The sequence below is a fragment of the Homo sapiens genome, chromosome 7 (assembly GCF_000001405.40).
Source record: "Homo sapiens chromosome 7, GRCh38.p14 Primary Assembly".
NCBI classification, from domain to species: Eukaryota; Metazoa; Chordata; class Mammalia; order Primates; family Hominidae; genus Homo; species Homo sapiens.
The window spans coordinates 83,013,397-83,025,636 of record NC_000007.14 but is presented as its reverse complement, the minus strand read 5'-3'; the positions used below and the strand labels follow the sequence as shown (position 1 = coordinate 83,025,636).

The following is a 12,240-nucleotide window of genomic DNA, read 5'->3' as shown; positions in this document are numbered from 1 at the left end:
GAGTTGCTCTTCTCGAGGAGTATCTTTGTGGCATTCTCTGTATTTCCTGAATCTGAACGGTGGCCTGCCTTGTTAGATTGGGGAAGTTCTCCTGGATAATATCCTGCAGAGTGTTTTCCAACTTGGTTCCATTCTCCCCATCACTTTCAGGTACACCAATCAGATGTAGATTTGGTCTTTTCACATAGTCCCATATTTCTTGGAGGCTTTGCTCATTTCTTTTTATTCTTTTTTCTCTAAACTTCCCTTCTCGCTTCATTTCATTCATTTCATCTTCCATTGCTGATACCCTTTCTTCCAGTTGATCGCATCGGCTCCTGAGGCTTCTGCATTCTTCACGTAGTTCTCGAGCCTTGGTTTTCAGCTCCATCAGCTCCTTTAAGCACTTCTCTGTATTGGTTATTCTAATTCTACATTCTTCTAAATTTTTTTCAAAGTTTTCAACTTCTTTGCCTTTGGTTTGAATATCCTCCCGTAGCTCAGAGTAATTTGATCGTCTGAAGCCTTCTTCTCTCAGCTCGTCAAAGTCGTTCTCCGTCCAGCTTTGTTCCGTTGCTGGTGAGGAACTGCGTTCCTTTGGAGGAGGAGAGGCGCTCTACTTTTTAGAGTTTCCAGTTTTTCTGTTCTGTTTTTTCCCCATCTTTGTGGTTTTATCTACTTTTGGTCTTTGATGATGGTGATGTACAGATGGGTTTTTGGTGTAGATGTCCTTTCTGTTTGTTAGTTTTCCTTCTAACAGACAGGACCCTCAGCTGCAGGTGTTGGAGTACCCTGCCGTGTGAGGTGTCAGTGTACCCCTGCTGTGGGGTGCCTCCCAGTTAGGCTGCTCGGGGGTCAGGAGTCAGGGACCCACTTGAGGAGGCAGTCTGCCCGTTCTCAGATCTCCAGCTGCGTACTGGGAGAACCACTGCTCTCTTCAAAGCTGTCTGACAGGGACATTTAAGTCTGCAGAGGTTACTGCTGTCTTTTTGTTTGTCTGTGTCCTGCCCCCAGAGGTGGAGCCTACAGAGGCAGGCAGGCCTCCTTGAGCTGTGGTGGGCTCCACCCAGTTCGAGCTTCCTGGCTGCTTTGTTTACCTAATCAAGCCTGGGCAATGGCGGGCGCCCCTCCCCCAGCCTGGCTGCTGCATTGCAGTCTGATCTCAGACTGCCGTGCTAGCAATCAGCGAGACTCCGTGGGCGTAGGACCCTCCGAGCCACGTGCGGGATATAATCTTGTGCTGCGCCGTTTTTTAAGCTCATCGGAAAAGTGCAGTATTCGGGTGGGAGTGACCCGATTTTCCAGGTGCCGTCCATCACCCCTTTCTTTGACTAGGAAAGGGAACTCGGTGACCCCTTGCGCTTCCCGAGTGAGGCAATGCCTCACCCTGCTTCGGCTCGCGCATGGTGCGCGCACCCACTGACTTGAGCCCACTGTCTGGCACTCCCTAGTAAGATGAACCCAGTACCTCAGATGGAAATGCAGAAATCACCCGTCTTCTGCGTCGCTCACGCTGGGAGCTGTAGACCGGAGCTGTTCCTATTCGGCCATCTTGGCTCCTTGAGTGAGCTGAGCCTTTTCTTATCTGAGTATGTATCATTAGCACCTAGCATGGTGACTGGCCCAAAGCCAGTAAGCAATAAATGATCACTGAGTGAAAGAATGGTTAAGATGAGTCAGCTCTTGGGAATTACTCAACGGCAGCATTTCTATCAATTTTGTTTGGTATGCATTCCAGAAAAATAAAGTTTCTAGGAATGGCTATTGGAATTTCAAGACTTATTGAGAAACCATAAGATTTGCCATACATCACTTCTCTGCTATCAATGACATTAATAATTTAGAGAGTTATTAGTTTAGCTCCTCTTCTGCACTGTGGTGGGCATAAGACATGTTTACTTAATTTTTAAAGTGAAACTATTAAATTTTATCTGAAACAATCGTAAGCTTTCCGTACTCATGGCACCCATACAAGACATGTTCAGTTTTTGGGGGGCAAGCAAAAATACTGTTGCTGAAAAGGTAATCCTTTGCCTTGACACTGAGTGGCACAGTCTTTTGTGCTAAAGCATTTAGGGACATGTACTTACAACTGTTTTGAATTTTTTATGTAACTATCAGTGTTCAAATTCAGTTATGTCGTATTTGATGGTTCTCTAATTCCCAATCAAAATGTCATATACTTGGCAATGTACATCAGATTTCAGATGGGAGAGTATGTGGATAAACTGGGCAAGCTGTTAGAATACATTATTGAATTCTAAACATGTCTTAACCACCTCTATTGAGTGTTCATTTCGAATTGTTTCTGGGTTGTCATATTATCAAAGTCATAATATTATAAGTAGTTCTGTAATGTTTGACTTTTAAGAATAGTCACTTTTTGTATTGTTTATATACAGCTACAATTTTTACATTATGATCTGCAAAACCAATCAATTAGTAGATTTGGAAGTCATAAAATCATTTTGCCATATACTCTTAGCTTTTTAAATGCCATTAATACTTTATGTTTTAAAATTGACTTTTTTTGACAAATTTTGCAGGTCAAAATAGCTAGTGGTAACAGTTTTTGAAGAAAAACTGTTCTTAGATTTGATTATACATGTACAGATTTGATATATGCATTTACAGATGATATTTATCTTAGATTTGATTATACATGTACAGATTTGATATATGCATTTATAGATGATATTTATCTCACATCAAATAAAAACAGGATAATTTGCAAGATCTAGAATTAGCTTATTATGTTTCAACTTTTGTCCATAAAGTTCTGAGGGAAGAAGTTAAAACTTTATCCTATATATTCAGGCTTTCAGATAGTTTTTTTTACGCCAGAGGCACTTAGGAGCTATTGCATGTTTGTTACACAAGGCAAAGAAATGTGCTATAACCTTTTCTAATTTAAAGAACTCATTCATTGCAGGCTTAAAAAAAGACCTGCAGCTAAAATAGTTTCTACTGTATAAATCTAAAAGATCAGCGTGTCTATTTTGAAAGAAAATATGGAATATTGTAAATTATTTGTTTCATTCATTCAACCCACATTTAGTGTTTAGCTAGTGTATATTGTTTTCATATTTATCTCGGCTAGGATTTGCCAACAATATTAGGTGGTGATTCGAAAAACAATCCTATGGTCTTCAAGGGAAGACTCCTAGCTTGTCCTGAAGAATCGGGTCCTGGTATTTTTTGATCCTTTAAAATATTGCCATCATTTTCCAGCTACCTTTGCTTAAGTCACTTTACTTTTGAACTAAATTTTGCAAATACAATTTACAAATAATTATTTTATATACTGTTTTAGTTCATTCAGGCTGCTCTAATAAAATACCTTAGACTGGGTAATTTATAAACAACAAAAATGTATTGCTTTCAGTTTGAAGGCTGGGAAGTCTAAGATCAAGACACCAGCAGACTTGGTGTCAGGTGTGCATCCATTCCTCATAGACAGCACCTTCTATGTGTCCTTTCATGGGGGAGGAGACCAACAAGCTCCTTCAGGCCTCTTTCATATGGGCACTAATCCCATTCATGAGGGCTCCTCCCTCATCACTTCAGTACTACACAAAAGGCCTTACCTCTTAACCCCAACACATTTTGTGGGTTAGATTTTGGCATACAATTTTTGGAGGAACACATACATTCAGACCATTCAGACCATAACATATCCAAAAAGAATATTTTTAAATTTGTTTATATAATTTTATCTTGCCAGAATGCTTGCTTGCAGGCCAATATGAACAACTTCATACCACACACACTACAATTCCTTAGCAGTCTTTAAGAAATGCTTATAAAATTCTATTTTCTTGCCTCTTTCTTATCTTGTGGTAAAGTTTGTAATTTAGCTTCCGTATTGAACTCAGGGAAGATTAAATAAAATATGTCAAAACACTTAGAAGGAACCTTCCCCAGAATTAGACGCTTTACTCTTAATCACAATATTGTTTTACCTTGTTTTAATAGATGTTGGCCTTGCTCCAAATTTACTGAAATATGTTTTTATTTCTATATGCTGGTAATTATATCAGGAAATGCACATGGGAGAAAGGAAGAAAGGAAGAGGGAAGGAGAGAGACAATGTCTATTGATTTACATTGTGTTACAACAGTGTACTTGGTTCTTCCATTATGTTTGCTCATTTCATTCTAAACAGATTAAAAAAAAACCTTTTATCTCTGTTATCTAAATAAGAAACTGAGGACCATAAACTTTACATAATGTGTCCAAAATCACAGTGCCAATAAATGGGAAAATCAGAATTTAGATCCAGAACTCTCTGGCCAGTGGTTTCACACTCTGATATTGTAGGACCGCTAGGTTCATAATGCCTGCTGCACAGTAACAGACCAATACACCAAGACAACAGGGTTTGCAGCAGAGAAAGTGTTTAATGATTACAGGGCAGCCAAATAAGGAAATGGGAGAAACCCTCAAATTATCCTCCTGAGGAGTTCTGGGCTGAAGTTTTTAGGATGATTATAGGGTGTGAGGGGCTGTAAAATTGAGGTCACTGTTTGGTCAGAGTAAGGATGATAAAATCATCAGGATGTGGAAACTGCACTCTTTGGTGATTCAGTCTCTTCTGGGTTTCTTCAGAACAGCTGATATCAGTAGTTTCATTGGTGTGCAGGCCCTGAAAGAATATTTCAAAAGGAAAATTTAACATTTCACAATGCTCAAGTTGTTATCTATAGAGCAGTTAAAGGAAACTATCATGTAGGATCTGCATGATTCTGAGACAATAGGTGACAAACAACTATGAGAAAGCAGATCAGAGAGCAAGCTGACCTAATGATTAATGCCAAATATACCACAAGCTTGGTTTATTCTCATTTCTACCCTTCCCTTCTTCCCTGATTAATTTTACGAAATTTATAGGGACCACTTCACTAATAGCTCTTCTCAATGTTATGGTTATCTTCTCAGTTTATTAATGCTGCTATAACAAAATACTTTACTACAGACTGGGTAATTTATAAACAACAGAAGTTTATTCTTATAGGTCAGGAGTATTGAAAGTCCAAGATCAAGGCACAAGCATTATTTGTCTGGTAAGACCTTCTTGCTATGTTCTTACGTGGCAGAGCAGGAGGCCAAAAGAGACAAAACGCTATGCCCTCACATGGCAGAAAGTGGGAGAGTAAAAGTGATGTAAGCTAGTTCCTTCCAGCTCTTTTCTAAGGCACTAACCCATTCATAAGGATGGATCCTGCATGATTTAATAACTCCCTCAAAGGCCCCCCCTCTTACTACTACCAAATAGGGATTAAGTTTCCACACTTAAATTGGGAGAGGTCACATTCAAACCATAGCAGTCACCATACATTAGTTAAGCTTCATCAAGTGTCAGCAAATTCTGCACCCTCATGAAAGATGGAATGTAACAGCATGCATCAACAACACAAAACTAGTTTTTGTTTCCTACACTTCTCTCAGAGCAATTAATAATATAAACACTTAGGGGTCAAACTAGATCCAAGTAATAAAAGGTCTACTTTAGATGTGTGCCATTTATTTAATAATTTTTGTGTAAAGGGCCATGCTAATGCTTTCCATCTAAGTTAAGTCGGTGGTCTAATAAAAAGTTTGAATTCAGCTAACTACAAAGAAGACTTGAAATCAAGACTATTATATTCTTCTTCATCATTTAGACTCTTACTTCTGAGAGCTACATATCTCCTAAGCAAATTTAACTAAGAGAGTGACTTTGAAATGCTTGAAGAGTTGTACTCAGGTGCTTCCTTCCTCTGCCTCTTTTGAAATAAGACATTGAATCTTTCTGGTATTTAAATTTCCTTTGCCGCTGCTTCAGTCTTTGCCCCAGAGTCTGATGGATTCTCTAGTCATAATTTATTCTGTAGAAATAGTGATTTGGGATATAGGAAAACAACACAGTGCTTCATAGAGATAAAGAGTAATAAAGGCCACTTGTGCTTCATGCATAGAAATGATGTTTACATAATAAAAATGAGACATTGGTTCTCCTAAATAGTAGCTTTGTATCTTCATATAATTTATCAAGATTTTATATGGCTGATTTAGCTGAGAGTGCCTCTGTTGACCTCCATGTCTTACCTGGAACTCTTGCCCATCATATGAACATTTCTAGGGTAATAAATCTGACTTTTGAAAATATACCCACCAGGATACTCTTTGTATAAATTTATATTAATTATATTATTTCCTTAAAATACATTTTGTTAAAAAAAAAACTTATGATTGGGAGACCACAGGTTACAATAAAATAAATGCAATATATTAGATTATTAAATATAAGCTTTACATACTTTTTGCCTAGATAGGTTTAAAATTAAAACAAAAGAAGTTCTTATTTCTGTTCTTCTTCCTGCCTTACTCTACCCCGCAAAAGATTTAAAATACATTTGGTCCACTTAAGCTAAAATAGCTACACTATTTACAAGCAAAGCAAGACACACATATTGAGGGAACTAAAAATTCTTTAACATTTTTAGCAATTCACAAAATTTACATTGACATTTTCATTCACTTATTCATTCACTCATTCACTCACTCATGTATAAATGTCTTGATTTCAGGAATATTATGGAAAATATAATAAATTATACTTTCTTTGTAGGATGTGAGCAAACAGGAAGTTCTCATATACCTTTCTGTATGCCAGTATGCATCTTTCATTATCACTTCTTTTATTTTATCTTCCAAAAAGGTATTTTCTTCATAACTCAATGTTTTAAAAAAGCAGGTTTCCTCTAATATGCAGTCTAACAAAATCCAAAAGAAGGTAATGTGTAAAACACAGAATACTTTAAACTTGCTTTCAATTCTTTGATGCTGTGGAATCCTTTACTAAGTGCATGCCCATTATCTCCTTGTTAATAAGCTTCCAAATTGAGTTTCAAAAGTGTTTGTGTAAAATCAAAGCAAGCAATCAACCACCAACTCAGAATACAGTAAAAATCCTCCTGGACATTAAAGGGAAGTTGGTATTATACCTGAAATATTAAGAATATTTAACATGTACATATTTAAGGGATTTGTATGTCTCTAATTGAAATGGAGTTTATAATGATTTTAATATAACCATTATGAGCATTATAAAACTATATAATTTTGTCAGATGTATTCTAGCCTAAATATAAAAATACACAATTATTTCAACAGAATATCAAAATTCGATATTATTTTAGCTCTCTATATTTTTGGTTATAATAGTGCTCATTGTAGAAAATTTAGAAAGTGTAGAAAGTTATTTAACAAAACAAAAGCAGGAAATGTATCACAACTGATTCCCTGAAGATAAAAGTACTCTTAATACAACATATTTATTTTATGCCTCATATTTATTCTGACATTCTGTATGTATCTAACATTCTTTATATATGTTTATATTTTCTCTTTTTCACTTAACAGGATTGTGTGTTAAATGCTTTTTGTGGCATTAAAATAACTTTGTAAACATTTTGATACCTAAATTTTATGTCAATGTGTGACCATTTATTGAGGAACACTTTATTTGGTTCCAATTTAGGTTTTTATAAATAATACTTCTATAAGGAATTATTTGTATTTTGGGAAAACATTCTTTCAAATGGATAATAAATTTAATTCATTTATTAGTACAACTTCCCATTCTTTTTTGTTTGTTTGTTTCAAGCCTACAGCACCCAGCAGTCCTAGGTAATTTCTCATCCTAGTACTAACCAGGCCCAAACCTGCTTAGGTGCCAAGATCAGATCAGGTGAATTCAAGATGGTACGGCTATAAATAATCACAGAGTTTTTTATTTTAACTTCTTTCTTAGCCATTTAAAATGTGTTAAATAATTTTTCCCATCAAAATTGTATAGTTAATATTATATCAGAAGTCTTTATATGTTGTATAATGTGTTTCACTGTCATTACACAGGAACTTCAAATGGGTGGTTTATAGTTTTTTTAAATGTCTCTTTTCTCTGAAAATGGGTAAACAAGTTTTTTATTATTCAGGATGCAAAAGAGTAACATGATTTTGTAGCTGTATATGTAATATACATTTCAATATATCATTAGGAAAAGGATGCTAAAATAATAAATTTAAAATAATAAATCTAGGTTTATCTCTTTGCATTGATTTCTTTGGAGTTCAGTGAACCTATGTGATCTGCTTGATCTGTTTCTTTTTCCATTCAGGAAAGATATTGACAAATGTGTCCTGAGTATTACTCCTGTTCTAGTTATTCTGGTTTTGTTCTCAAGAATGAATTACAGTTCTTTTATCATATGTGCTTTAGTTGTCCATTTCCATTTTTCTTTCTTTGTCCTATTCAATTACACCCTGGTAAAGTTTTCAAAAAAAAATTCTTTAATGTTTATGCTGTTCTTTTCTAATATCAAAGTTTAATTCTATGACTGCATTATGAATTTATCTTCTGTTTTATTCATTTCTTACCCATCTCCATTACCTCACAGAAGATATATTTTCATTTCCAGATCTTCCTACTGCTAATTCATCTAAAGCATTTTTTCAACATTATATTAAAACTGCCAAATCATCTTCAAATTATTTCTTCTGATTCTTTAGTAAATCATTTTTTGAGGTCTATTTTTCTTCCAAGTCTTTGGAAAGATTTTCCCCTTTCTTGTTCTCTTTCAGTCTGAATAGAGCCATAATTTATTCACAAAGAAAAAAGAGCCCATTTCCCCACTTTAAGCCATTCTTAAGTGAAGGCTAATCATTCTTGACATGGTTTAAGGCACTACATAAGGCATTTGAATTGCCATTGGCTCTGCTATCTGTCCTAGGGGGTGCTAGTTTTTTGCACAGCCTAAAGGGACAGTTGATATGTAAAGTTTTTGTCAACCTCCCAATATCTAGCATACTTTTCAGCTAAACCCAGTACGCAGCGTCCATTCTTCCTATTTCAATCTATACCATATAACTCAGAATAATTTTCATAATATTTACTTTTCCCATGTTACACATAGTACTTTTATATTCAGAATACTCCAGTGATGTCTCTCTTCCTTAAGGGTGACTTCTATATTCATGAGCCTAGCATACAGGGCTCTCTATAGTAGACCTATTTCTGAAACGTCATCTCTAGTCTCTAGAGTAGATCTCTCTCCTAACCCCACAAATTGTCTAAACAATAACCTTCCTTTGAAGCCAAGGTCAAAAGACACATTCTTTAATGGCTGAAACTTCTATATTTGTTTCTTAGCGTTGATTCCTAAATCAACATGAGGAAACTATGACAGTCATTTAGCACTCTCAAAATATAAGCGACCCTCTTTATTCTTTGTTATAACCCTAACATGTGAACTGAGTTCTTCTTACAGTAATTGAAAACACATTTTACATCTTGCTTCCTTCAACATTGATTCTGATTTCAGGTTACTATTTGCACACGTTGTTTTTTTTTCCCCCATTTTACTCAACCTGTGTGCATTATTCAATTTTATTTTGACATTTCCTGATTTTGGCATCACTGCTAATTCTTAGTCAGTCCATCTGTTGTTGGGCCTCTGATAGTGGGTGTCCAACCCTGTGCCATGTCCTTTCTTACATGAGGAACTCAGTGAGCTAGTGGGAAGAACCTCACTTGCTTTCTGATGTTTGATTTTCTACCCAGGCTGTGCACGTTCATGAAAACAATTCAGGAGCTGGTGCTTGAGTGCTGCCAATTTTTGCATTTTTTTTTAAGGAAATAGACACAAGAATCTGTGATATTTCAAAACTAAAAAGATGCTTTGAAGAACTGTTGTGTTAAGGACAAGATTTTTATTCTTGGCTTTTGACTATGCAAAAAACATATGTTCTTTAGGATAGAATTAAAAGATAACATTCTAGGACCTTTTCTAAGAACGTGTAATGTTGTAGGAAGAAAACAAACTTTAAAAAAGAAATAAATTTGTAATGTAGTAAAATACTAGTCTATTATACAGCTAAAGAAACTGAAAAATAATGGCTATATGTCATTTAGCTACTTCAAAATGGTTTATTTAAGGATAATACATGTTACATTTATTTGGCCTTGTTTTCACAATAAAAAGTTGTAATGATAATTTGTTTTAGATTATATGCCATCTGTTTATATCGGGACACAGTATCTTTTTAACACAACTCATTGATAATTTTTTATTATCAAAATGTGTGTTAATTTGAAACAAATGCTATCTTATTTCAGAGATACAAAGCATTATGTTTTATCTACATCACATAGAAATAGAAGAAAATATATGGAACTTGGGAGAGCATATGTGTACAGTAAAGAAAAGAAATCTCATGTAGTGGTCAGATTCCCTCCCACTCTAGGAGGCTGACTGGTCACTACAAAATGTGACTAAAAGAAAAAAAAAAACCTAGACCTAGCATTAAAAGCCCAGAAATTTGATTTTCACAGGGTCCAGAACTGTTGAGACATTTAAAGATACTGATTTATGTCCACCAGGCTCATGGAATTATTTTGTATAAATTATAAATATCAAGTAATATGTTATTGTGCAAAGCAGTATAGTGTCATATTTTTAAATGATCAAGGACTTTGGAGTGAGGCTACCTAGGTCCGAATCTTATCTCAGTGTCTACTGACTGTGTCATCTTGAATAATAATGTTACCTCCCTGTGCCTCAGTTTCCTCATTTGAAAAATGGGGACAGTAGCTGCGCATAGCTGATAGGATTATTGTGTTAGTTTAAAGGGTTATTTCAGGTAAAGCACTTAGCACCTGGCGCATAGTAATTGCTCAAAAAGTGTTCCCTACTATAATTACTTTTATTGTGAGAAATGTGACTAAAAAAAGGGAGTACATATTCCCATCCCTTTTCTAGTATTTTCCTTGTTCTTGGGAAGCTCTGTGGCAATCCAAAATTTTCTCTTTTAAGCAGGAAATTAGGACAAAGGTGTTAGTTACATAATTTGACTGTCTGCTGCCTTTAGGGAAAGGTAGCCGGATACATCCTCCTCAAATGGTGCAGCCTTGCCTCAGGGAACTGAATAGTCAATGTCTGGGAACCAAGACTCTCCCCTGCTTGGTGCTTAGATGAGCAGTGCTAATTTTGTGACTTTGTGATTTTTTTTTTTCATTCTATATTGCAATGTTGAACAGCCATCCCTTTCTACTCCCTTGTGACTTGCACATTCTTTTTTTAGGTGTATTACTTTCAGGAAATTTTGCTATGGACTGGAAGTTTCAGAGAAATATATTCTTTGATCCATTATGCATTGATTTTATAGTTAAACCTCTGCAGGCAGACTTACTTATCTCAGCATTCGAGAGGGGAATTTATTTTTATCCTCCCATGTGCTTTATTCATTACATATATACATGCATAATTAATAATTCTTGTAAATTCCTGGCAACTGAGAAATACTTCTGCTTATTTTGACGGTAGAACAGGATAGATATTTAATTGAAGACATTTTGTGGCATGGCTTTACCTGTTGTTTATATCACTAATTCTGACATTTGTTCATTTACTGACTTGTTTTGTTAACTATCTCAAGTGTGTCTCTTGCCTTTCTATGAAGACTGTACATATCTTAAGGGAAGATACATACAGTATCTTTTAATATGAATGTCTTTCCTCACAGTGACAAGTGTAAAGCTAGCCAGAATGGATGTTCAATAAATACTGGTTGCTCTCCTTATGAAACCATCAGTTGCTTGTTTTCTCTTGTTTTGCAGGTGCTAGTGGTATAAAATGGTACACCAAGATTTTTTAAAGAATTGCTATTCTACAATGGAAACAGGAACAATAATAACAATAAAATCCAAAAGCTAAGTTTTGTTTAATAACAAAGAATACTTCACATAATATGAATATCTGATATAGTTTTCATAATTTTTCTCTAATGATTATTGTGCTATTTCCAAAAACACTAAGTGACTTGCAATTTTGTTTATTCACACAAACGTTCCATTTTAAATCCATTAGAAGACTCTAAGAAAGCAGTCTCAGAAGTTACATTTCCATATATTGTCTCTTTCAGAAGAAAGTTTGAAAGTCTTTTTCTCTGGATTGATTAGAACCCAACTGAAGTTTCAGGGCTACCCTACTGTGAAATCTTCCTGGTCAGGGATGTGCCTTATTTAGATTGGCATCTCTGTCATCAAGCGTTCAGCTCCAGCTCTGGGAAGCATCCAGTGTTTATTTACCCAAAAGTAAATAGGTGCACCTTGTTGTAGACACTATGCAAGGCACTTCTATACACACTTTTAATTTTATCTTGACAACAACCCTGAAGAAAACGGCATTATCACTACTTTGAATGAAGAAACTCAGATAT

General features: G+C 35.4%; 1 protein-coding gene and 1 pseudogene across 7 annotated transcripts in view, besides 2 other annotated features; one reads left to right on the top strand and one right to left on the bottom strand.

The window, feature by feature from the left end:
* PCLO (piccolo presynaptic cytomatrix protein) overlaps positions 1 to 12,240 on the top strand; it is a 408,873-nt gene that overhangs the window by 137,248 nt on the left and 259,385 nt on the right. The gene's annotated exons all lie outside the window — the stretch shown is intronic.
* Positions 750 to 1,318: an enhancer, noted in NCBI's record as "OCT4-NANOG-H3K27ac-H3K4me1 hESC enhancer chr7:82653635-82654203 (GRCh37/hg19 assembly coordinates)". NCBI's record gives its function as "activates a minimal SCP1, AML or CMV promoter by ChIP-STARR-seq in primed H9 embryonic stem cells {active_cell/tissue: H9 hESC(primed)}" and the evidence as "EXISTENCE:reporter gene assay evidence [ECO:0000049][PMID:30033119]".
* Positions 1,319 to 1,889: an enhancer, noted in NCBI's record as "H3K27ac-H3K4me1 hESC enhancer chr7:82653064-82653634 (GRCh37/hg19 assembly coordinates)". NCBI's record gives its function as "activates a minimal SCP1, AML or CMV promoter by ChIP-STARR-seq in primed H9 embryonic stem cells {active_cell/tissue: H9 hESC(primed)}" and the evidence as "EXISTENCE:reporter gene assay evidence [ECO:0000049][PMID:30033119]".
* On the bottom strand, positions 7,626 to 7,739 carry RNA5SP235 (RNA, 5S ribosomal pseudogene 235; annotated as a pseudogene).